Genomic DNA, 27,714 nt, shown 5'->3' on the forward strand with positions numbered 1-27,714 from the left:
ACTTCAAGACTCAACCCTGGCTCAGTTTACCTCAGCCACTGTGATTCCTGCTTCCTTCTGCAAAAATCTCAGCAGGGAATGTTCTCTGCCACTTGCACTTGGGCTGGAGAGAGACTAGGGTCAGTCGATCAGTCTGCATGTGTGGTACCCACTGCCCAGCGTTGCTCACCTCTCTTGTATCTGCCTGACAAACTTCTATTCCAGCTTGAACACCAGCTCAAAAGTCACCTCCTCCAAACTCCTCAGCCTACTCCAGCTTGGCTGCACCAACTCTGCCTTCGTCACATGAGACAAAACCCAAGAACAAAACCACAGAAATTGGCTCACATATTCCTCTTCTCTCAGACTTTGGGCACAAAGTGCCAGCCACCTACTCCCAAGAAGCTGCTGAGGATTTTTAAAATGCAAATGCCAGGTAGGGGATAGGACTTAAGAGTTTATTCTGAGAGAGGTGGAGTAAGTGCCTTACCCCGGTCGCTAGTAAATGGCAGTCCTGGTGACACGTAGCCATTTCCCCCATTCCTCCTCCCTCTTTTCTTCTCGGCTTAGACTCACCCTAAGGTGAGGCAAATTGCTGCTGCCCCTCGGCTCCCTCTGCCACTCCATTCCTGGGAAATGGCTGCCACCACGGCTCCACACCCTACCTCTCCTCTGGGAGGGAAGGATTAGCAGGATCAATGACCTCTGGCTCCAAGAGGGTGATCACCCATCTTGAGACTTTCAGTTCTAGGGACACAAGCATGGCCTTCATCCACCTCTCATGACATCACCCGGTGTTATATGGGTTTTTCTCCTATTGTTAGACCACAACTCGGCTCCCTGGATTCTCTGACAATGCCACAATTGGCAGCATCATTGGCTCTTAGCTACTGAAAACATAACAGAGACAAGTCTTGCAACAAAAAATCAATATGATGGATAATAGGCAGGAAAAGCAGCCCCCACAGAATAAGGGAAGGCCCCAGTAAGTCTAATTTTCATTGACCCAGTTTCATTGTCAAAGCACAGAACATAGCAAGACAGAGTGACCTCCACACCCAAAAAGCTTCAGACTATTCTGCAAATGAAGCCACCACGGACCATCTCTCTCTTCCTCCACGAGCCCATGGATGTTAACCACCAATGAGTGAGTGACAAAGAGAATTCCCACCTTAGAAAGGAGCAGCTGAGTCTGCTAGTCATTTAAGACAGGTGATTTTCATACGTATAATGGGGGAAAAAAATCACTCCACCCCATTCTTATATAGGAATGTAATGGGATGGGGAAGGGGGCTCTAGGTGGTAAATGGAGCCAATCATGCTTGCATTTCACTTCCATGTATCACTGCACTGGCGGCATTAGCTCCCAGAAGCAGAAAGGAGTGTGAGGTGTGGATTGATTCTTTCTTACAGGACCACAGTCTCATGAGCAGTCAGCGCACATTGCCGAAATGTGGAAAGAATGTCGGATTGATTTCAAGAGTTTCGGGTTGACTAATACAGCCTCAAATTTCTTTATCTAGGCAGTGAGTGACGATGGCTGCACTAGCATCCTGGGGAGGAAATTAAAGCATTCGTCGAGGGCCTGACTCAGGAAAGGGTAGAGGAATGGATTATGTCAGCCACAGGAGACCAAGGTGAGAGCACGAGGGAAGGAGCAGGAAGTTCGACCCTTGAGTAGCATCCGGAAGCATGAGAAGTGGTGAAAAGCTTGAGCGATGAGTTTTTTAATATGATACTTCTGTGGAACAAAAATTGGTCTGTCTCCCCCAAACTTCAGCAAAGTCTGTTATCCACACAAAAGCTTTAGTGAGAGTTTTTTTTTTTTTCTACCTCAGAGCAAGGGGAGTTGTGAAAATGAGTAAAACGGCTGAACTCCCTCATCTGGGTCAAGGCGATGGGGAGCATGGGATGGCGCGATGTAGAAGTAAGGCCCCCTGTGAGCTGGGGAAGACATGGTCGGGAAAACCCATACCAAAGCCTTCCATAAACCTCGAGGAAGAGTCGGGTGAGGTGGCTCACGCCTGTAGGAAGCCAAGGCAGGCGGATCACCTGAGGTCAAGAGTTCGAGACCAACCTGGCCAACATGATGAAACCCTATCTCTACAAAAATACAAAAATTAGCTGGGCGTGGTGGTGGGTGCCTGTAATCCCAGCTACGAGGGAAGCTGAGACAGGGAGAATCACTTGAACCCAGAAGGCAGAGGTTGCAGTGAGCCAAGATTGTGCCACTACACTCCGGCCTGGGCAACAGAGCAAGACTCCATCTCAAAAAAAAAAAAAAAAAATCTCGAGGAAGACCTCTGATTCTCCATAATTGGAGAATCATAAGCCACAGGCCCATTTTGTTCCTAAGGGTCAGGGTAGCCCAGGTAACATCTGGGTTGTATACCTAACGTGAATTGAATTTGCATTGCAACTACATTAATACTTCTGATTTTTATACAAGGATAGAAAAGAAAAACACAGCTATTAATGTGTCCTATCTGTAGTGTTTATCAATGTACTAGCACCTTGGGAGCACCTGCAGTGTGCAGGGTTCCATTCTACAGGTGCTGCTGACCAAACTATCTAAGGTGAAGGTGCAGCTGCTGTCATTCCCAATCCATGCAGTGTGATGTGTGGCCCTACTATGAGTGACTTGTATGCAGTTTGCACCAGATGGGACTCACCACAAGAATTCAACAGCACCCAATCTGGTCTATTCCCTGTTTAATAAAAGAAAGCCCATGACACATGCTTGGATGCCATGCCAATGTCCTGTTACTAGGAACATTACTCAACTCTTATTCTCTCTTGCTGTGTTCTCATTTCAGATCTTGCTTGCTGATGGACACTGATCTGCACACCAGCATGAATAACACTGCTCTAGGGCATACAAATAAGTACAAAATCCTTGCTCTCAGGGAGCTTACAAACTTTCCATTATACTAATACCCATTGAAATATGTTCACTCTAAGACAAGGCAATCATAAAATCTACTTACAAGACAGAAATGATGAATTGCAAAGTGAATTCATAAATAACACAAATTAGGAGTTTAAGAAAGGAAGCCATTTGGAGAAACCAGAAGATTAGAAATGAAAGACAGAAAACTAGATTTCAGGTCTGTGGAGGGGAGAGACCTTGAGCTGAGTCTTGAAGGTTGTTTAAGATCAAGTTACATCTCACCACAAAAAGCATAAGTAGGTGAGATAATGCATACATTAGTTATCTCCATTTAGCCATGTGACAATATACACATATTTCAAAACAACATGTTGTACACAATAAATATATACAATTATTTATCTGTCAATTTAAAAATACTAATGGGCTGGGCGCAGTGGCTCACGCCTGTAATCCCAACACTTTGGGAGGCCGAGGCAGGCGGATCACTTGAGGTCAGGAATATCTAGAGCAGCTCGGTCAACATGGTGAAACTCCATCTCTACTAAAAATGCAAAAAAAAAAAAAAAAAAAAAAATCCAGGCATGGTCGCTGGCACCTGTAATCCCAGCTACTAGGGAGGCTGAGGCAGGAGAATCACTTGAACCTGGGAGGCGGAGGTATCAGTGAGCCCCGACTGCAACATTGCACTCCAGCTTAGGCAACGGAGTGAGACTCAAAAAAAAAAAAAAATTAATGACCCTAAAACCTTATGAAAAAAACAAAACCCAAAAAGGATCAGGATAGTTCCAGAGAAATCAGAAGCATATGAACAAAGGTCCAAACTTTCTGTGTGAACTGAAGAGAGAGTAAGCAGACCTGTTTGGCAGGGATGGAGAGCTGGTTCAGAAAAGTAATGGGAAACACAGGTTAGGGTAAGGAGGTAGAAGACATTGAACGCCAGAAATACAGAGCATAGATGTCATCCTGTACATCATAGATCACAGAGAGAAATAGGGGGACAGCATTTCATGATGACTTATTTAGCCCATACATTATCCAGTAAACACTGTGAGGCACAAGAGACTGTGTGAGATGCTGAAGGAGGTGAAGGATGCACGAAAGGGCAGGGAAGTGAGTTCGGGGGCTGTAGCCCAAGGTTGAGGAATGACCGTCGTGCCTGAACTAGGGCAGTCATGGATAAGGAAGAAATAGAACAAATCATAGAAGTGATTCCAAGAAAAAAAAGAGGAAGGGTATATTTAATGACTATTTGCATTGTAAATGAGGAAGGCCTTCTTCACACTATGCCTACCCAATTTGCCAAGCTCTCTGTGTTAGTCCAAGTTCTCTACAGGGACAGAACTAATAGGATAGATATATATATAAAGGGGAGTTTATTAAGGAGTATTAACTCACACGATCACAAGGTCCCATGATAGGCCACCTGCAAGCTGAGGAGCAAGGAAGCCAGTCCGAGTCCCAAAGCTGAAGAACTTGGAGTCCAATGTTTGATCTTCTGCCTGCTTTTTATTCTGGCCACACTGGCAGCTGATTAGATGGTGCCCACCCAGATTAAGGGTGAGTCTGGCTTTCCCAGTCCACTGACTCAAATGTTAATCTCTTTTGGCAACACCCTCACAGACACACCCAGGAACGATATTTTGCATCCTTCAATCCAATCAAGTTGACACTCAGTATTAACCATCACACTCTCCATCACCCTTCAAGATTCAGCTCAACAATCCCCCTTCTGCAAAACCTCCCTCAAGAGGGATTACTGACTTTCTCCACAGCACATCTCTTCCCAACCAACTTTGAACTTCTCACTAAAAAAAGGATGAATGAAAAGTGGAGAGAGGAGTTGCAGATGACTCTGAAGATTTCAAGAAAAGGTAACCTGGAAAATAGTAACATGCAGTGCCGTTTCTGGGCAAGGTCCCTACCAGAACCTCTTCCTGGGAATTATGCTGGCAAACAGCCTCTTGGGCCCTTATTCTTAGTAAATGCTAGTTGCCACTATAGTAAAGCATATATAAAATGCTAGGTTCACATCAAATAATAAAAATACACACCTATATACACACTTAACCTCTATTTGTATATAAATAATCCTATTGTATTTGGTCTGCTGTGATGCTTGCCCACTTCACAGTTGACATCATTGGATAAATACTAGGAAAAAGGAATAGCAAGTGCAGTAGCTAAAAAGTTTCACAATCATAGTAACTCCCCAACTCCTCCTGGGTCTGCAGCAGTCAGGAAGAAACTGTGAGGCACCATCAACTTGTAAGGTTTCCCTTACAAAGTGTATTCAGTCAAGGACACTGTGTGTGTGTGTCAAGATGCTGTAGGTGCTAAGAGGAAGAAGAAAACTAGACACATAAATCATGACAACATGGCTGCCAAAAGGTCAACTTTCTTGTAGAGCATACTTTTCTGTTGTTAGGTTTTGTTTTTTGAGAAAATAAATATTATGTGAAGGAAACAAGCAAGCAAGCATTATGTATATAGAGAAATTGATTGCTTGATTCTTAAAAATGTTTATGTGTATACCTGTGCATAGATAAATAGATGTAGGTATATAGTTATAAATAGAACCCTCATTAATAAATGTCAAGGTAATAACTAATTAGGTTTTTTAAATTAAACACTGAACTCTAACATATTAAGTTCAAATATTAAAGTTTTATATTAGCATATAGTTTGATATTAACATGAAGGGAAATTTTTGTTTCCTACAAAAAGTAGTGATTCTCCCAGGTGGAGATAGTGGAGAGGTGAACAGGGATTATCTCTCCATTCTGCAGAAGATGATTCCAGGTTCTGCAACCCAGGGATTGAGGAGGGGTGTCTTCCCCGAATACTGGGGGGATTCCAAACTCCAAGGAGGGAGAAGAGCTGGGACACTTATGTTAGAAGCCAAGAATGGAGTTCAAATAGGTTAACCCAATCAAAGGGGACAGAGGCCAGGATGGACACTGGAGGACAGGGTCAAGGTCCCAAGAATGAGCAAGGGTGAATCTGGGGCAATTGTCTGCACCAGCTATGCTGTGGCATGGCATGGCATGGTATGGCATGGCAGGGTGTGGTATGGTATAATCTGGTGTGGCATTCTCTGGTATGGCATAATGTAGTCTAGGATAGTGTCTTCTGATGTGGTGTGGTGTAGTATGGTGTGGCATCTTTTCATGGCATGGCATAGTATGGTAAGTGGAGCTGATAGGAGAACCAGAGATAGGATGGACTGTGGCTTCGAGAGCACAGCTGGGGACTGAACTAAAAGGACCAACAGGAGAGCTAACCAGAAATGTCCTGCAGCAGCCAGAGAGAGATACAGAAAGAGTTGCACTCTAGGGAAGAGCAAGCCCTGGACGTGTGGACTTGAGTCTTCCTCTGGAGGAACATGTGATGTGCCAAGCACTGTGTACAAGGATCCAGGTGCTTCACATACATTCTCTCACTAAATCCTCTCAACAACCTGCATGATAACGCACTCAAGAAAGTGAGGCTCAGAGAGCTGGAGTATTTTGTCCAAGGTCATACAGCTGACAAATGATGGAGGCATATGTGAACCCTGATTTATTTTATTCCGAACGTAGGCTTACAACACCCATTATCTCCAAGTAAGATTTCCCTGTCAGAGAGTTCTGAGCAGTGATTCTGGAAATGTAGCACAGCACAGAAGAAGAAAATGAGTACACACCCCTCAGACGACACAGTACGACGTTTTGCAGGCCAGAGATCGGGGGGACAGGGAATGCATATAGTTTGATACCACAGCCATTGTTCCAATGTGTTTTTAAATCCATATTTACTTGATTTTTTATTAGAGGCATGGGTTTTTAAAAGCTTGAGGAACACTAGTGTAAAGAGAGAAGAATGAGGTCAAATGCTTTGGCAACATCTTCATACAAGAGATAAGCTGATAAAGAGAAAACAAGTGAAGGTCGCGGCAGCAGGTGTGGAGAGAAGTTATCACTAAGCTCATGGGCCTTGGAAACTGAGTGATCATGGTGACCCTCAAGAAGACTATCGGGAGCAGGCGGCAGAGTCCAAAGGGCGGCCACAGCAGCATGGCTGGACCGACCACCACACTGGCCCAGAACTCTGCAGGCCTCAGCAGTGCTGGGATTGGGAAAAGACATCAAGCCCAAAATTCACCTGTAGATGCCAACAGAGGGACTCCATCACCAGAGATGAAACGAAGCCCATGGATAATGGCACCGTGCAGAAGGAAGAGGCCAAGAGGGTCAGCAGAGCCAGAAAACAGAGGGGGCCTCACAGCAGATAAGAGGATGCACAATCACACATATATTCACACTCACACACACACATGCTCGTACTCACAGTCATATTTGCACTCATCCATCACATTCACATGCTCGCACATGCTCACTTCCACTCTCACACTCATGCTCACTCACGCACACTCACGTTCACACGCACACACGCATATTCACACTCTCGTGCACTCACACTCATGCACACTCCCATTCATACACAGTTTTGCGAGTGTACTTCTGGAGTGCTTTGCTGGCAGCTCTAGGAAGGAAAGAGAGACGCTCCAATTAGGTCTGGAGAAGAACGAGGGGGCATGGCGAGAGGGCCCAGCGGGCCGCCACTCCATTCCAGAAAGGAGTGCCCCTGCTTTCCCTGGGGCTCCCTGCACCAGCTGGTATGTGGCGTGGCATGGCACGGTATGGTGTGGCAGGGTGTGGTATGGTATAGTCTAGTGTGGCATGCGCTGGTATGGCATAGTCTAGGGTAGTGTGGCCTGATGTCGTTCGGCGTAGTATGGTGTGGCATTGTTCATGGCATGGCATAGTATGTTGCTGTTGGGTTTTGTTTTTTGAGAAAATAAATATTATGTGAAGGAAACAAGAAAACAAGCATGATGTATATAGAGAAATTGATTCCTTGATTCTTAAAAATGTTTATGTGTATACCTGTGTATAGATAAATAGATATAGGTATATAGTTATAAATAGAACCCTCATTAATAAATGTCAAGGTAAAAACTGATTAGGTTTTTTAAATTAAACACTGAACTGTAACATATTAAGTTTAAAGTTTTATATTAGTATATAGTTTGATATTAACATAAAGGGAAATTTTTGTTTCCTACAAAAAGTAGTGATTCTCCCAGGTGAAGATAGTGGAGAGAGATGCTTGCATAGAGAGACGCTCTGATTAAGTCCAGAGAAGAACGAGGAGGCGTGGCGAGAGGGCCCAGCAAGCTGCAGTTCCGTCCCAGAAAGGAGTGCCGCTACTTTTCTCTGGGACTCCCTGCACCAGCTGTGACATGGTGAAGGCACAGGATAAGTGCCTTCACCCGCCAGCCTGCTGCCAGGACCCTGGAAGCCTGTCCCGTCGTCCACCCTTTGTTGTATATCAGGAAGTCTGGAAGAGAGGGTTCCTGCTTACCGAGGAAGTTCCTCTTTACAGGGTGAGCTGTGGTTCACTGAATTAGGGGTGAGTGTCTCTCTCTGCCTGACCTGCGCTGCTGCTGCCCCAGAACTTAGGGAAAGTTCTACTTCATGCAACTAGAGAAAGGCACTGAAGCCCCACATTTTCCAGACTCAGGTGTGGAAAAATCCTTTCCTACTTGGCCTGGTGGACACATGACAGTTGGTTTCTAAATTTGACTTGAGTTTCTGCTGCACCCCACCCAGAGCCCAGTGCTCACTGCCTGCAAACCTTCCTGCCCCACTCCCTGCCTTGGCAAATGAGCTCCCCTTGGGCCAGACCCTACATCAAAGCGCTCTCCTGAGCCACTCTAGAGAGATTCCACAGTGAAAGGGTAGAAAGGCAGCCCCAAGCATTGCATTATCATGTTCACTTGGCCCTAAGAGGCTGGCTTCAACCGCGTCTCTACACAACTTCGCATCTCCTGGATGATCCCCTTCTGAAGGACTTTGGAAACCACTAGAAGCAGGGGTGGCATGGCATAGCAAGGCATAGTGTGTTGTGCCATAGCATGGCATGACGCACTGTGCCATGGTATAGTGAGTGAAGCCAATAGGCATGAGAACGAGAGATAGGATAGATAGTGGCATCATCAGAGAGAGGGTGGTTGGGGACCAGGCTAGAAGAGGCCAACAGAAGAGCTAACCGGAAATGTCCTACAAGCAGCCAGAGAGAGATCCAGGAAGACTTGCACCTGGGGGAAGAGTAAGCTGGACACCTGGACTTGAGTCTTCCTCTGCAGGGTTAAGTAATGTCCTAATAGCAGGAGGGCCATGTGCCAAGCCCTGTGTACAAGGTTCTAAGGGTCCAAGCCGGGTGCTTTACATACATTCTTTCACTAAATCAGCCCAACAACCCTGTATGATGGCACACAAGACAGCGAGGCTCAGAGAGCTGAAAAAAGTTTGTCCAAGGTCACACAGCTGATAAATGATGAGAGAATATGTGAACCCAGGTGTGCCCAAGTCCTCTCATCTGCTTTTCTGATGGGTGGAGGGGGAGCCTATTGATTTTCAGAAGATCCTGTACCTGAATCTAGGGAGAATAATAGAATGATTCTAATAATTGCAACTCACCTGCATCAGTTAAATAATAATGTTTGGTGGTGGGTAATAGAAACCCCAAATAGTGGCTTACATAAAACAGGGATTCACAGAGCCACTAGGTGACCTATGCCAGGAAGGGCCATTCACAACTGTGCTCCAGGCTGAGCCATTGGAGAGGCCAGCAGCCCTGGGGACTTGTTTTTTCCCCTCATGTGAAGAGAATTCAGAGGAGGCCAGAGCTGGTGTGACAGTTCCCCAAGGTCATGAGGAACCCAGTTTCTGTCTGGATCACCACTCTACCATCTTCATGTTCATGCTTACAAGGTGGCTGCTGGTACTCCAGCCATCACATCCCTGTTCTAGACAGGAATAAGGAGAAATGGCAACAAGCAAATGGAACGGACTGCCTGAGCTCTCTGTAAACTTTCCTGAAACCTGGAAGTCCACCTAGTCATCTCTGTTCCTACCTCCCTGGCCAGAACTGTATTGCATCATCATTCTTACCTGGAATGCGAGGATGAAAGGTATAGCTTTTTAAGCTGGACATATTCCTAAACCCAAATAAAATTAGGGCTCTGCTAGCAGTGAGCAGAGAATGGATGTCGGAGCTCCATTTAGCAAGACTTGCCACCTCATTTTCGTCATCCAGTTATGCCTGGGTGCTCCACTACACTCACAGATGTCAGCCCTGGGCATGGAAAACCCAGCCCCTGAGCAAAGAATTGCATAGTTAAATGCAACAAACATTCACATAGAATATGGATTTGAGGCCAGAGAATGAAGACAATGCATTCTAGACCACGTATGTCCTCACCGAGGGACTGGGTTGTGGGAAGTGTAAGAATCATTGTCTTATTGTGCTATCACAAGACAGGACCACTTCCCAAATTTGAGGAATTTGGGCCTTGTGTCCATTGGTATGTCCAGCTTAATGGAGTTAGTTCCTAAGGTAGTATTCTTTAAGGGGGCGTTGTCTATCTGCTGTGCATAGCCTGTACTCCAGGATTGTGGCAGAAACTGTCCCCTGGGAATAGCCTGACCAGACATCCATCCTTAACAATACCAGGAAGGGTTCTGAAATGGGGCTGAATTGTGTCCCTCCAAATTCATAGACTGAAGTCCTAACTAACCTCCAATTTCCCAGAATGTGACTGTATTTGCAGAGAGGGTCTTCAAAGAGGTAGTTAAACTAAAATGAAGTCATTAAAATGGGCCCTGATCCAATACGGCTGGTGTCCTTACAAGAAGAGGAGATGAGGACACAGATGCACACAGAGGGAAGACGAGTGAAAACACAGGGAGAAGATGGCAACTACAAGCCAAGGAGCGAGGCCTCAGGAGAAACCAGCCCTGCCCTCCTCTTGATCTCAGACTTCTAGCCTCCAGCACTGTGAGAAAATAAATCTCTGTTGTTCAAGCACCCAGTCTGTGGTACTTTGTTATGACAACCATAGCAAATTAATACAGGTTCTTTGGCAAAATAATTCACTAAGCATGACTGAACCTATGCGTGTACAGTTGTGTAGAGTTAACCGAGCATAATTCTTCACATACGGAGCTACACTTTCTGCACACTGGAATTCTGTTACTGTCAATTCCTCCTCACCAGGAAAGTGGACCTGGCTGGGGTCAACGTCTCTTCGTTTGACTTGGATACATCGATCCTTTCCATCTGTCTCATGCTTCTTTGGATTTTTAATACCAGTCACATAGAAAGCTTCATCCCATTGTCTGCCAGTCTTCAAAGCTCTGTTTGTCAGTGCAGCGTTTCCATCAGCTACAATTCTAGACTCTGGGTAAAGCAAGCCCCCATGTGCTGTTGAAATGCACAATGCTTTTCCTTCCCTCCAGCTGCCCGCTCCTCAGTGTTCGGGCAGCAGCTGCTCGTTAGCTGGGAAATGGCTTCTCTCTCTATTCATGCTCTTGGCTTTGTGGCTGTGAGCCTGGAGCTCTGATCTGGCCTCTGATTCTGCAGCAGGAGGGGAAATATATGACCCCCGCATTTTGGTGGGAAGAAAGCAACTTCCTGTTTGGATACAGTCCCCCACAACAAAACACCTTTCTAGCTTCCCCCCAGGCTTCCTTGTTTCCACGGTGCTTCTCATTTGACGACAGCACACACCACCTCCCTTCCACGCCCTAATTTTGGTATGTAACTATTTTATACCCACTCTGGGTAGGTTACAGGAGCTTTGCCTACCCTTCCTTGCTAGCTGTCTTTGAATCAAAATATTCACCCAAGGAGAGAAAGAGAATTCCATGAAAGAGGGCCAGAAGGGGGTATTCTGCAGCTGAGTGAAGCCCAGGCTCTCCCCGGCTCCTTGCTTAGGACAGAAACTGCCCCCGCAGCTGATACCCCATCCACCATGGAGCCTAGACCTCTGGCTCATCATTTACGGGGGAAATCAGTTCAATAATTTGACTAAAATTAGCAGAGAGAGTAAATTATAAAGGTAACAAAGGTACTCTGAAATAACAGAAAACAGACTGAAACTAACAATTACAGATAAAAGCTAGAAAGTTTTGAAAAATAACTAACTAAATGTTCGCTAAAGGATCACATTAAAAGAGTAGAACAGGATGACGTCATTCTTTTAGGTACCATGTTTGCTAACAGAGTGCAATGGCCAGGCATGGTGGCCCACACTTGGAATCCCAGCACTTTGGGAGGCTGAGGCAGGAGTTCAAGACCAGTCTGCACAACATGGCAAGACTCTGTGTCTACAAAATAAAATTAGCCAAGCACGGTGCTGCACAGCTGCAGTCCCAGCTACTCCAGAGGCTGAGTTGGGAGGATCACTTGAGGCCAGGAGTTTGAGGCTACAGTGAGCCATGATTGCACCACTGCACTCCAGCCTGGGCGACAGAGTGAGACCCTGTCACACCAGAAATTTTTTTTTGTAATAATAAAGAAAATGCATAGCCGGACCTTGTGGCTCACGCCTGTAATCCCAGCACTTTGGGAGGCCGAGGCGGGCAGAACACGAGGTCAGGAGATTGAGACCATCCTGGCCAACATGGTGAAACCCCATCTCTACTAAAATTTAAAAAATTAGCCAGACGTAATGGTGCATGCCTGTAGCCCCAGCTACTTGGGAGGCTGAGGCAGGGGAATCACTTGAAGCCGGGAGGCGGAGGGTTGCAGTGAGCCGAGATGGCACCGCTGCACTCCAGCCTGGTGAAAGAACATGATGCCGTCAAAAAAAAAAAAAAAAAGAATGCACTCACAGAGGATAAAGTGGAAATAAGAGCCATAAGAGCCATGGGAGCCTTGGGCCAGTGATGAAGCTCATCAGCAAGGCCCTGAGGCTCTGCTTCCCTGGAGGCAGGGGCTGAGGCCCCAGGACAAGTTCTGTGAGGGCAGAAGGCATCCACGCCAGGCACATCTGCCCTGGAGGCTGAGAAGTCTGAGATGAATGAGCCCCTTAGCTATTCCAGATGATTTCCCTGCGGCCCAGCTAGCATGTAAATCCAGCACCCAGTTGGCAGGCAGGATAATTCCTCAAACAGAGAGGCCACCTGCCAGAATGGGGCTGAGTGTTCCGAGTAGCTAACCAAGGAGAATAGAAAATCTGCCAATGAGGCCGTTTCTAAACACACAACTGTCTCGAGGAAGGGGAAAGAAGGGACTGTAGTTCAGTCATGGAGAAGGATGTATAAAAAGGCTCTGGACAGGGCTTTATTCCCAGCTCTGCTCCTAACCAGCTGCGTATTTACTCTGCATTGTGGTGTCCTTGTAAGTACATGAAGAGAGGAGCCTGCAGGAGCTGTGAGGTCACTTCCAGCTCCTGCATAGTAGACCAGCTCCACTCATTCTCCTCAGTCTGGTTTGAGGAGGTGCAGTTGCCGCCTTTGTCCACCCCACCTGTGCACAAAGCAGACCTTGCATCCTGCCTGGGGCCAGGGTCCAACCCAGAGTCAGCAGGGGCCCTGGGGAGTGAGCGCCATGCCCAGGCACCCCAGCCTGTCTGCCCAGCAGGGCGGGCTCACCACAAGCTGTCAGCACCAAGGAGCGAGGCCCAAGCACTGAGGTCAGATGCCCCGAGGATGCAGGCAGAAATGTCCAACCTGGGCAGACAAAGCGGAGTCTAACCTGGGTGGGATTCAGGAGGGAGCCTGCCAGGACCTTCAGCCGTGAGTAGGATGAGCTGGAGACTTGGAAGCTACAAGCAAAGCTGAGCAATGGGACAGGCAGGGACCAGGTGAGGAGCAAGGCTACAGGTAACGGAGGACAGGCACAGGTGGCCGGGACTACCGCTGAAAGCTCCAGTAGGGGCTCCACACCCCAACTTGGGTGTATCTGGACATGCCAGACACTGGGCAGTGCCACCCAGCTCTCCCTCTGAAGCAGGACTCCTTGCCCAGGTGTGGGGCATGTGGTCATTAGGCAGCCTCCTCTTGCCAGCTCCTACAGGGTCTGCCTCAGCTGCACCTCTCCCAGAGGAGCCCTTGTCCTGAGACTGAAGGAGCACAAAGGCTAGCTTCGAGGCCCTTAGAGGACGGGGTCACAGTTTGGCTTCTCCCTCTGCCCAGTGCTGCTTCCTCCCCAAATTCCATCTCAGGGCCTGCTTCTAGAAAACCCAATCTGCAGCTCTGAATGGCTCCGCTAGCACCCACGGTGTCCAGCTTGAAGACTCTGCCTCGTGGGGCCTCTTCAAATGGAGGTCACAGTGCTGTGCTGCAGTCCGCCGACACTGACCTTCCAGAGTCAACTGCATGCATCTCTTCCCAACTCTGTGTGCAGTGATGGAGAGTGGTAGCTTGAAATCAGCCATGGTGGCGGTATTTGCACCATGGGAGTTAACAAACACCACAAATCAGAGCTTTTTTTCTCCTGGAGATCTGGTTGTTAAACACCTACCAGCACACAACTGTTTCTGGAGCATAGTAGGATTAGACCATTTCTTGAGACCCACTTTGCTCTATGTCACATTGTTCAGAGAGGAGAAGTTAGGGAAGAGGAGGGAAAATCAGGAGAAATGTGGAATGAAATTGCAAACAGATTATTTCAAGAGCAGACATTCGGCAGGGTTGGGGAGTGGGTGTGTCTCAGACGCCCTGTTCTTAGGGAGGACGCAGCTGAGCTGGCAGCAGCAGCATATGAAAATCCCAAACCTGGCATTCCACATCACCTGGAGGAAGCTGGCTGGGCAAGAGTGTCTCTCTAATGCAGGGAATTGAAGACTTCCCCACTCATCCCAAAGGTGGTTTGTGGGATCATTTCTTAGTAGTGTACAAGGGAGCCACCACCACCATGCTAAACTCCACCATTTCTGCTGTCCTGGTGAATTACTTCTGGTCTCCTCATCCTGCTAGTAAGGTGAACACAGTCTCTCCTCATTTTTCCAGCCCCCAACAATTGCTAGGGTCACAGAACAGGCACCTTCACATCCTTCCCATAAGCCTAAGAAAGTGGGGTCCCTGACTTGGCATTGCACTTTGAAAATGTCACCCGTAACGCAAGAGGGAAGCTGTGGAAAGTATTGAATACAATCTTTAGAAAGCAAAGCCTTTTTAGTGAGGAATGCACATTTATTTGACAGTGTTCAGTGTTCAGTGCCCACTGCAAGGCATTTTGCTAACTGTCATATTCTATGAAGAGTGGTGAAAGCAACCCCCTAAAGAAGTCTAACTGGGATGGGTCCCGGCATAGAAGACAATAAAGCTCTGGGCCCTGGAGAAGGTGTAGAATATATTAGCTGTCCATTAGGTAAGTATGGAGAGAAATTTTCCATTAGGCTATTACGTTTGCCTCAGAAAGAATGGCTCATAGGAATGCAATTCACCCATTTTCTAACAGCATTCCAATATGGCTCATAGTGGAAACATAATAGACATTTGTTAAGTGAATAAATGACCCAATCTTGACTTTCAGATTACCACGGATGATTAATTCTGCCTTGGGATATGCAGATTGAATAGACACTTAAAAGATCACCAGGGATCATATGTATGAGCTGAGAGCACGCATATTGACTTAAAGAATGTATATGTTAAGAAAAACAAGAAGCTTGCCAGGAAGCCAAATCAAAACTGGAAAAAAAGATGTTCCTGTCATCTGCATAGCTTAAAAGTGACAGAAGTCAGAGTGCACTTATTCTCTTTTCAATTATTTTCCTTGATAACCAGAGGAACAAGTAATATAAACCTCCTTGAAAATGGGAAGAGGCAGGTTTTAAAATTGAGGTCTCCCCCAATGATGTGTTTTTATATAAAGACCGAAATATCAGGGTCCTTGCTTTGAAAACCCCAAGCACCCAAAAGAACTCTTTCTTAAGGATTGAGTGGCAGGCTGTAGAAAACCAAAGGGAAGTTATGATGGGGGCAGCTGTGTGAAGATGAGGGCGTCGTCAGTACGTGTGGCATGTTTTCTTTGAAGAGTTCTAACCTCTCCAGAAGTGTGTCCTCTTCCTTTTTTGGGAGATGGATGAGGGGCAGAGAACTTTCCTGTGCATTGAGAATCCTTCCCAGCCTCCAGTGAGAGGTGAGTCTGGCGCCCTTGTCCCCAGGTGGACCTGGCTGCCCACTTTGGGTCTTGCCACATGAAGAAAGCCGTTCTGCCTGGCAGAGTTGCAGCAAGCCTGATGTTTAACCCCGAAAGCAGAAACTTCTTTGCCCTAGCCACATTCTTTTTGAACTCCATAATAGGGGAGGAAGCTAAGGAGAATCATGCATCAAGAGAAAAAATGTTCATATTCCCACTGGAAAGGAAGGTGGGTCAATTTGAAAATACGGTATAACAGCAAGTGGTACAGAAGCCCAGCCTGGAAAACAGTGCTGTGATGCCCAGGAAATGATAAAACCACCCCGGCGCTCCCTGGGGTCAGGCCAAGGTCTGCAGTCATAACCACCTGCTCTCCTTCCATTCCCTCCAGCCTCACGGCATGTGGTTGGTGTCGATGGCCCAAATACAAAGGTTATGTATATATCAGAGCCCTCAGACTGAGAAAGAAAAATTGTTCCAAGAAATCAAGTATTTTATCTACATGGAGAAAACCAGAGCCCTGAGAGTAGTTAACCCAGGAGCTTCCAGAGTCCCCCAGAGTGGAAGCCCAACCTCCTTGGGCTCTGAGATCCATTGTTATGAGCCCAAAGGGCAGCCCAGAGGTTGAGGGGTGACAAGGAGGGAGGAGAGGGCCGGCAGACCTGAAGCTCCCCTACCTGTAAGTGTGAGTCCCCTCCATGTCATCATCTTGAGGCCGTGCTTCCAAAGATGGTGCTTATCCTAGACATTAAGGAAAAGGGGGCTAACAGAATAAAAACACTTGGGTAAAATAATATCCACAAGGTAGGAAATTTGGAGAAGATTTTTGAAAGGTTAGGGAAGAAAAACTTTTGAAAGGACTAAAATATTTAAATATAATTATTATTTTAAAAGAGTTTGGAATAATGCGATAATAATAGATACGTAAAAGATTAGATGTCTATGAGATTTAAAAGTTAAAAATACAAAGGTTAGCACTGAAAGCCAAAAACCGTGAAGACGGTAAGTTTACAATGTAAAAGCAGAAGGTATTGAGGATAAAGAACAAGGATAAAAACACAAAAGCTATACAAGTAAAGAGGGTTTCTGAGAAATGTTTTTTGAGCAAAATAAAAGCAAAAATCTTGACAATTAGAGAGGTGGTAGAGAGGTAAAATGAAAACATAAGGGGAACTGTTCAAGCATAAGTCAAGGTAATAAGATAAGCTGTTACTTTAGCAAGGTAACAAGTTAATACGTATATAACACATGTCAAAAGCAACAAGTGTTCCCTTGCCAATTTCTATTATGATTTCCTCTTTAACCCAAAAACTATTTTGGGGAATTGGTTTTATGGTTTTCAGATATATAGATTTATCTCTTGTCATATACTCTTTTTTTAACTGTGGATTTCTAATTTAACTGCATTATAGTCAGAAGATGTGATTGTTTTATCAAGAGGGTCAATTTTTATAAATATCCAAAGTGTGTTTGAAAATAATGCATAATCACTTTGTTAGGTGCAGAGTTCTCCATTTATCTAATTTGACCAACTTTTTAATTATGCTATTGAAATCCTTTATATCCTTATGTTTTTACCAGCTTAATCTATTTCCTTATAAATATTCCTTGTAATTCTCTTGGTTTTGCTTTATAAATACTGAGGTTATCCTAAGAACATACAAATCTGTTACTTCTTGCAGGATTGTTCTTTTCTTATTGCAAATGTTCTTTCTTTTTTTTTTCTTTTTTTTTTTTTTTTTGAGAGGGAGTCTCCTCTATCGCCCAGGCTGGAGTGCAGAGGCGCGATCTCAGCTCACTGCAGCTTCTGCCTCCCAGGTTCAAGTCATGTTCCTTCGTCAGCCTCCTGAGTAGCTGGGACTACAGTTGCACAACACCATGCCCAGCTAATTTTTGTATTTTTTGTAGAGATGGCTTTTTGCCATGTTAGCCGGGCTGGTCTTGAACTCCTAACCTCAAGTGATCCGCCCGCCTGGGCCTCCCAAAGTGCTGGGATTACAGACATGAGCCACCGCACCCAGCCATAAATGTTCCCCTTTATCCCTATTTATAAAATTTTGACCTAAAATTTATTTGATCTGCTATTAAATTTGCTATGTCAGTTTTCTTTTTATTAGTGTTTGTCTGATTTAGCTTTTTTTCATTTAATTTTTAGCTATTCTATGTCATTTCTTAACTATGTCTCCTATACATAGCACAAAGCTGAATTTCAGTTTTAAAACTCAAATCTAGGCTGGGCACAGTGGCTCACACCTATAATCCCAGCACTTTGGGAGGCCGAGGCAGGAGGATCACTTGAGCCCAGGAGTTCGAGACCAGTCTGGGCAACATGGCAAAACCTGATCTCTACAAAAAATACAGAAAGTTAGCCAAACATGGTGGCATTCACCTGTGGTCCCAGCTTCTTGGGAGGCTGAGGTGGGAGGATTGCTTAAGGGAAGTTGAGGCTGCAGTGAGATCGTGCCACTGTACTCCAGCCTGCATGACACAGCAAGACCCTGTCTCAATAAATAAATAAATAAAAATAAAAATAAAATCTGAACATCTATGTCATTTAAAAGGCCTTCATCTGCATCTATTGAGGACTGTAGCTTGAAAAAATAAAAAGAAGAAGTAAAAAGGCTTCAACAATTTACATTTATTCTAACTACTGACTTATTTGGGGACATTTCTACCATCTTATTCCTGTGGTTTTGGCTTTGGTTTTTCCTTTTTCTTCTTCTTTTATCCTTTCCTAACTTCTCAAACTTTGATAATGTTTTCTTTATTTCTTAACTTTTGCTGCTTTGGAAGGATATATTGTGGTCTGTTCTTTAAGTTTTACTCCTTGATTTTTAGCAATCATAATTAACCATAAATATTTATAAGAAAGTTAAATTTATTCAGCGTTTTTATTCTCCTCTCAAGACAAGAATCTCAGCATGTTTCAACTACTCACTGAACATCCTCTTCCTTGTGAATGCTGTCTAAATGTTGAACATTTCTTTTTTTAATGTACACACAAAAAGTAGGCTTTTTTCTCATTGATTATCTTTGTAAAATATATATTACCAAGTACTTTATTTGTGTGCATCATTGCTTCTTAGATCCTGTACTTTCTCTCTTGGTTCACTTTTTGTCTCATGGAATTTCATGTCTATTAGTTCTTTCTGTGAGAAACTGTAAGTGGTAAACTCATTTAATCTTTGTTTGTCTGACAATTTATTTTGCCTTAATTTGTAAATAATAGTTTTGCTGGGTATAAAATTTTAGGTTGTCCATTTTTTCCAACAGCACTTTGAAGATATTACTTCATTGTCTCCTCAAATCTATCATTGTTAAAATGTCTGATGTCATACTAATTATCATCTTGTATAGATTTACTGTTTTTTTTCCAGTACTCGTTAATATTTTATCCTTATTCTTGATATCCAATGTTTTGTTACACTGGCATTGCGTATGCACAAGTCATTTATGTGTGGATTTATTTTTACTGATTCAGTGTACACTTTTAACCTAAGAGCCAATGGCTTTTTTCAACTCTTAAAAATTCTCATCAATATACAAATGCTCTTCAACTTACAGTGGGGTTATGTCCCAATAAAGTTTCAGAATGAGTTTGTTGAGATATAACCCCATTGTAAATTAAGGAGCATATTGCTTTTACCCCATCATAATGTAAAAAAAATTCATAAGTTGAAATATCGTAAGTCAAGGATTATCTGTATCTTCAAATATGACAATCCACCATTGAATCAATTATCGACTTTTTCTAGAACTCTCATTATATGATTATTAGAGTTTTTTGAACTCCCTTCTGTGACTCTTCACTTCTCTTTCATATTTTTTGTTACTTTTTCACTCTGTAGTACTTTCTGGTGATATTTCCAGCTCATCAATTTTCTCTTCAATTGTGTTTGGTCTAGAGTTCCCATTCAATTTGATCTATTGAATTTTTAGATTTCATTTATCATTGTTCTTATTTCTAGGATTTCAAGTTGATTCTTTTCCATATTCACCTAGTGATATTTTATTTCTGCCTTTTTAAAATTACTTTTTATTCATCTTTTAAATAAGTTTTTCTTTCCTTGATATCTTTGACCATCCAAAGAAGTAATGGCTCAATACAATAGCAGCTATTTTTGATGATGTAGCAGCCCTAGGCAGGTGAACAGCTGTCCTCAGAAGAGTCATTGAGGCCAAGATGGACAGATCACCTGAGGTCAGGAGTTTGAGACCAGCCTGGCCAATACGGTGAAACCCCATCCCTACTAAAAAAATACAAAAATTAGTGAGGCATGGTGCCATCCACCTGTAGTCCCAGCTACTCAGGAGGCTGAGGCAGGAGAATCGCTTGAACCTGGGAGGCAGAGGTTGCAGTGAGCCGCGATTGTACCACTGCACTCCAGCCTGAGCAACACAGTGAGACTCTATCTCAAAAACAAAACAAAACATTTGTCAATTTTGGCTTTTGTTGCCATTGCTTTTGGTGTTTTAGACATGAAGTCCTTGCCCACGCCTATGTCCTGAATGGTAACGCCTAGGTTTTCTTCTAGGGTTTTTATGGTTTTAGGTCTAACGTTTAAGTCTTTAATCCATCTTGAATTAATTTTTGTATAAGGTGTAAGGAAGGGATCCAGTTTCAGCTTTCTACATATGGCTAGCCAGTTTTCCCAGCACCATTTATTAATAGGGAATCCTTTCCCCATTGCTTGTTTTTCTCAGGTTTGTCAAAGATCAGATAGTTGTAGATATGCAGCGTTATTTCTGAGGGCTCTGTTCTGTTCCAGTGATCTATATCTCTGTTTTGGGATCTAATTAAACTCAAGAGCTTCTGCACAGCAAAAGAAACTACTATCAGAGTGAACAGGCAACCTACAAAATGGGAGAAAATTTTCGCAACCTACTCATCTGACAAAAGGCTAATAATATCCAGAATCTACAATGAACTCAAACAAATTTACAAGAAAAAAACAAACAACCCCATCAAAAAGTGGGCGAAGGATATGAACAGACACTTCTCAAAAGAAGACATTTATGCAGCCAAAAAACACATGAAAAAATGCTCACCATCACTGGCCATCAGAGAAATGCAAATCAAAACCACAATGAGATACCATCTCACACCAGTTAGAATGGCGATCATTAAAAAGTCAGGAAACAACAGGTGCTGGAGAGGATGTGGAGAAATAGGAACACTTTTACACTGTTGGTGGGACTGTAAACTAGTTCAACCATTGTGGAAGTCAGTGTGGCGATTCCTCAGGGATCTAGAACTAGAAATACCATTTGACCCAGCCATCCCATTACTGGGTATGTACCCAAAGGACTATAAATCATGCTGCTATAAAGACACATGCACACGTATGTTTATTGTGGCACTGTTCACAATAGCAAAGACTTGGAACCAACCCAAATGTCCAACAATGATAGACTGGATTAAGAAAATATGACACATATACACCATGGAATACTATGCAGCCATAAAAAATGATGAGTTCATGTCCTTTGTAGGGACATGGATGAAATTGGAAATCATCATTCTCAGTAAACTATCGCAAGAACAAAAAACCAAACACCGCATATTCTCACTCATAGGTGGGAACTGAACAATGAGAACACATGGACACAGGAAGGGGAACATCACACCCTGGGGACTGTTGTGGGGTGGGGGGAGAGGGGAGGGATAGCTTTAGGAGATATACCTAATGCTAAATGATGAGTTAATGGGTGCAGCACACCAGCATGGCACATGTATACATATATAACTAACCTGCACATTGTGCACATGTACCCTAAAACTTAAAGTGTAATAATAATACTAAAATAAAATTAAATTAAATAAAATTAAAAATAATGAAAAAAAAAACCCAAAACAAAAAACAGTTTTAGTTTATAGGCTCCTACTGAGTGGAAATCTCTCTCTCTCTCTTTCTCTCCCCCCTTCTTCTCTCTTTCTCTCCCCCTCCCTCCTCTCACCTCTCTCCTCTCCTTCTTCCTCTTTCCTCTCCTCTTTCTCCACTTACCCCACCCTGCCTAGCAGTTTGCTGGTCACCTCCACCTGCCCCTCTCTCAGATCTCCCAGTCTTGAACCAAAACTTATATTGATGGCTTAGAAATTCCATGTTGTGGTGAGTGAGATACCTCACATTCTGCCTTTGACGCAGCAGGCAGCTTGGCTCAAGTCCTAGCTATACGGCTGGATCTCCTTTCTCCAGCCCTCCCTGGGTAGTTGCATAAGCCAGAGGCCCTGAAACAGAATATGCAGCCAGCAGTAACTTTTTCCAGCCTCCTTTGCAGGGAGAGCCCAATCCCATTGCCTAGGTGCATGAATGAGCCTGGCCCAGGACCACTGCCCCATGTGAAGTACATTTAGTGGCCATGACTTTGCAGCATATAAACTCTCATCCACTGTGCCTGTTTCAGGACCTAAATCCAAAAGTCCTGTGACAGCACATCCCCCTGGCTTGTGCTTCTGTTACACTTCTGGTCCGTAGAAATTTTGTCTTGATTTTTAATGTGGCTATGATCTGTTGTCTTCTCTTTATATGTTATCTATCACTGATATGTGATTTTTTTTTGAAGATTTATGGTGGGAATAATGAACTTACAACACCATCTGGATCCTGGTGAAACACAAAACCAAGACTCATTGTTGGGAGGGGTAGAAAAAGTAGATGGAAATTAACTGAAACTGGCAAGAAGTGAGAGGGACCAGTGGCCCTCCCTGTCAGCTGTTCTCTGTCATTCAATGCCCTGCATCCATAGAGAAGAGATACAGGTAGCATGGTGCCTTCACCCATAAATCAAAGGCTCCTCCGCAACTCATAGATGTCTCCGTGTAAGGGCAGGGAGTAGAGTCTTTATACAAAGATCCCTGGGTCCCAGGAGAAAATAAGTTGTAGTTATTCTCACTCCTATAAACTTCCTTGACAATCAACATGCTGTATAAAGTAGCAGCATAGCACAGTGTGGTGGTAGAGGGCATGAGTATTGGGGCCAGAGAACCTAGGTTCAAGCCTCGTCTCTGCCACTTTGACCTGCAAGACCTTGGGCAGGTTGGTGAACCTCTCTGAGCCTCAGCTCTCTCATCTGCAAAATGAGGGTAATAATAGTGTCTTCCTAAAAGTTGTATTTGTTTTAAATGAACAAGTATGTATAAAGTACCTGGTCGATAGCAGGTGCTACGTAAATATTTGTTAAATTAAAACATACACATAAAGCTGAGCACGGTGGCTCATGCCTGTAATCCCAGTACTTTGGGAGGCCAAGGCAGGCAGATTGCTTGAGCCCAGGAGTCCGAGACGAGCCTGGACAACATGGCGAATCCCTGTCTTTCCAAAAAAATACAGAAATTAGCCGGGTGTGGTGGTGCGTGCCTGTAGTCCAGCTACTTGGGAGGCTGAGATGCGATAATCACCTGAGCCTGGGGAGGTTGAGTCTGCGGTGAGCCATGATCATGCCACTGCACTCCAGCCTAGGTAACAGAGCGAGACTCTGCCCTTAAATAAATTAAATTAAATTAAATTAAATTAAATTAAATTAAATTAAATTAAAATACACACTTAAGATGCAGCACTTCACACCACTACTTGGCCATCCCATCCACTGTCAGGGCCTCCCCATCACTGATGACTAATTCAAATCTCTGTCTCCAGCCTAGGCTCTCTCCAGACCCATAGCTGTTTATTCCCAGTGACGGCCTATGGGTCATCTCTACTGGGATATCGCACTGACTCCTTAAACACAGTAAGCCCAAAACTAAACCACCTTGTCCTGTGTTCCCTCCTCAGTGTCAGCAGCACCTTCCACACTGAAAGAGACTCGGAGTCCTCCTCAATCCTGCATTCCATGTCACTCCCCACTCCGCCTCCTTCTCTCCAATATGCAAACCGCCTCCTTCTAATACACCCAAACTTCACTAGTCTTCCTCCTTCACACTCATCCTCTGCTCTCCACCCTCCTATTACTCACTGTTAGGTCCTGGCCTTCTGTAAGTGTCACATGAACTGTGGTTTTGTATCCGGTCTCTGGGTCTCTAATTCTGCCATTCCTCCGCCATCCCTCCACCCTGCTGTCAAGAGCAGTGTTGTATTACAAGCCTGATTACCTCTCTCTTCTTAAAACCCTTCAGTTGCCCTCAGAGCAAAGCCCAACCTCAGGATTCTGTGATCTGGACCCTCTTGCCTGGCAGATGTGCCCTCCCTCTGTGGCAGCCACACTTGGACCCCAGATGCTTCTTCTCCCTGGAATGCCCTTCTCCACTCACTCTTGATGTACCTGGTGAAAACCTGTGGCACTTCCAAGACCCAAATCAAGGGTCACCGCCTTTTAAAAACTTTCTTGACTTTGTTTTGTTTTTGGCTCCATTCTGCCCTGTACAGACTTTTATCATAGACTTTATTTAACTTATTTGTTCACACAACCCGACTCTGAGCTCCTGGGAGGCACAGGCTGGGCCTTCTTCACCTGAATCTTTGCATCCCCAGCACCTAGAACAGCATCTAGAATACCATGGGCTGTCAGTTTATGACAAAGGAACATCATGAAAGGCCTCAGCTGAGTGTCCATCCTGACAGAGGAAGGGCTAAGATCTTGGGGTAGAAACCAGACTGCTTGGGATGGATGCGGACAGGGAGGGGCAGGGCTTAGCAGTAACACGCTTTATACAGAATTTAATTCTTCAAGTCATAAGGCCTTAAGCAAAAGATTGATACATCTGATAACATAAAAGGCAAAAAATGTTAACCAGAAAAAACTACCCTAAAAACAAAGTAGGTGAAATATTTGCAATTCATATCACAAGATCATATTGTAATTTTCTCAATATACAAAGAGCTCTTACAAATCAGTAAGAAAAAAAATAATACATGCAATGAAGAAAAGTAGAGTATATAAATAGGCTTTCACAGAGAACATAAAAATGATTTTTTCTGAGACAGGACCTCACTCTGTCACCCAACCTGGGGTACAGTGGCATGATCTTGGCTTACTGCAGCCTCAGCCTCCCAAGCTCAAGCTGTCCTCCCATCCCAGCTCCCTATCCCCTGAGCAGCTGGGACCACAGGCAAGCACCATCATGCCCAGCTAATTTTGTTTATTTTTTGTAGAGATGGGGTCTCACTATGTTGCCCAGGCTGGTTTGAACTCCTGTCCTCAAGTGATCCTCCCACCTCAGCCTCTTAAAATGTTGGGTTTACAGGCATAAGTCACTGCACCTGGTCAAAAATGATGTTTTAACCATATGAAAACATGTTTTACTTTATTTATGATTAAATAAATGCAAATCCAAACAACCACAAGTGCCAATTTTCAGAATGGAAAAAGTGCGTAAGTCTGGCAATATTAATACATCATGTTGGCTCAGGTGGCCCAGGTATGGAGGAGCCCGCATTCATCAACGCTTTGGTGAAAATGGAACTTTTTGCAACATTTCCATACAGAAATTTGTCAATGTCTTTAACATTTTGAATTCACATACATTTAATCCAAATAATTGTATGGGGAAGGGAACAGGGAGGGGGTTGAGATAGGGAAAAGCTGGGCTGTGATTTCAGAATATATTTATTCTGCCATGACTTAAGCCCTGGGCTCTGCTCCAGAATTCTTGTCTGAATAGTTTGCTGTTCATGGAGGCTGTTTACATTATTGGTTCTTTTCTCAGCAGTCAGACATTGTTCCTTGGCTCTAGCACCAAGGAGTTGTGCTTCCCATCGTTAGAAAGATGATGCAAGAGGTCTGCCTTCAGTTTGACATGTTTGTTTTCAATAACAGGAATGTGTTTGTACAGCTCTTTAGTGAGCACTGTTACTGCTAACTCAACATCGATTCTCCCTTCTTTTTTTCTTAGAGAACTTTGAATTATTTTTAGATATCTACCTCTCCTATACACAGCCCACGTGTCCCAATGAAAGATGACCCCACCCCAGCTCCAGAGGCAGCTTTGATTTGTTGGTCTAAATAAAGGTTTTTGCATCCCCTTTTCAGTGACTGGATCAGACATGGCTGTGAAAGCCGATTAGAAACAAGAGGATGCTACTATCAAGGGAGGGCAGGATGTTGGGAGGGGAAGACTACAGCAATGGGAAATTGATTACACATTGGGGATTAGTCAAATGAACAAATAGGATGAGAATTATGGTAGCCAAGTTTGTCACTCTTGGAGTAGGGAATCACAAACATGGAAAGAGAGAAACTAGTTTGACCCTGTGGTGTGTTGGAATTGGAGACATTGGTGTGAAGTCATGGATTTCAATATATAGATTGATCGGTGTAGAAATAGACATAGATGTAAATGCAGATATATATAACAGTATAGAGTCCCTAGCCCTGTTCACTGAGAGACTCTAGAAGCAATAACAACCCAGTAGCAATAAGAATACTTAGTATCCAAATTTTGGCTTCTAAATATCTTTCTCCACTAAATGGAGCTAGGACTACTTACCAAAAAAAATGGCTGGTTCCATGATTTGAGCAAGGAAAGGGCAAAATGAGTCTGGAACATCTTATTCTACCAGAAAGTAAGATGTGCCCAAAGAATTAGGAGACATTTCAAAAGGACACAGAGTCCAGCTTAAAGGTTCCTACCAGTCAAATAAAGGAGAATCTCAGTATCAAAATAAATAACAGTAGTTAGAGATCATAACCCATTAAATGAATTAGGAATTCATGAGTCCATACTAATATAAATATATAGATAAATTAAGACATTAAATGTTTGATAAGAAGGTATGTATTCACAGTGTCTCAAAGTACCTTCCTACAACTTAATAATGACAAAGGAAAAGTAAGTTAACTACAGTGAAGAAGGCTGGCAGATACTGCTTTAATGAAGTGGTCAAAACTAACATCTCCCATGATGAAACAAATCAAAATCATGTGCCAGGTGATAAGATGCAATGAAACAAACACCACATTACCTTTTGTGGTATTCCTGCCACAGATGCAAAACTTGAATCCAATCATAAGGAAACATCAGATAAACCCAAACCAAGGGACCTTCAATAAAATAACTGGGCTACAGTCTTTTAAAATATCAAGGTCATGAAAGTCGGACATCCTTTACAAGGACATTATCAGTACAAGTGGCAAAACTGGAATGGAAGGCCGGGCGCAGTGGCTCACACCTGTAATCCCAGCACTTTGAGAGGCTGAGGCAGGTGGATCACCTGAGGTCAGGAGTTTGAGACCAGCCTGGCCAATATGGTGAAACCTTGGCTCTACTAAAAATACAAAAATTAGCCGAACATGGTAGCATATGCCTGTAATCCCAGCTACTAGGGAGGCTGAGGCAGGAGAATCACTTGAACCCAGGAGGTGGAAGTTGCAGTGAGCTGAGACTGCACCATTGCACTCCAGCCTGGGTGACACAGTGAGACTTCATCTAAAAAAACAAACAAACAAACAAACAAAAAACCTTGAATGGTGTCTGTGATTTAGAATTTTGGCTTTGTAGGAGAATGTCTTTGTTCCACAGGAAGTATACGCTAAATTATCCTGGTGCACAGAATTTCACGTCAGCAAATTACTCTCAAATAATTCAGAGAAATAACTTTTTTGTACTGTTCTTGAAGGTTTTCTCTAAATTTGAGATTGTTTCTCAAAAAATAGAAAGAAAATAAAACAAATGGAAAGAAATGTTCTTAAGATACAAGGAGACTATTACTATTACTGAAAACTTCTAGAAAAGTCTTTTTTCCTTCTATGAAGACTTTCTGAAACTTTTTTCCTCCTCTGGATAATGCCAGGCATTGAGATGAGACCCCAAAAATCATGTGATCGTCTCACTGCCAGCCTGAGAAGAAGGCAGAGCGAAGAGGATCACAGGGAAAGATCTGGGGCCACTGGATCGAGCCTGTCCTGATTCCTCTGGACTGTCAGCCACGGGA

General features: G+C 44.0%; 1 long non-coding RNA gene across 5 annotated transcripts in view; it reads right to left on the minus strand.

Annotated features, from left to right (window-relative positions):
• The window catches only part of LOC105374894 (uncharacterized), a 154,998-nt gene that overhangs the window by 123,276 nt on the left and 4,008 nt on the right, over positions 1-27,714 (minus strand). The window contains exon 3 of one of the 5 annotated variants that reach the window (XR_001743941.2): positions 15,459-16,588. The exons of the other annotated variants lie outside the window; for them this stretch is intronic. This is a non-coding gene — a long non-coding RNA (uncharacterized LOC105374894). Of the gene's footprint in view, positions 1-15,458; positions 16,589-27,714 lie in introns of those variants that run through there. 5 annotated transcript variants of the gene reach the window in all.

This window comes from Homo sapiens, chromosome 6 (genome assembly GCF_000001405.40).
Source record: "Homo sapiens chromosome 6, GRCh38.p14 Primary Assembly".
Classification (NCBI taxonomy): Eukaryota; Metazoa; Chordata; class Mammalia; order Primates; family Hominidae; genus Homo; species Homo sapiens.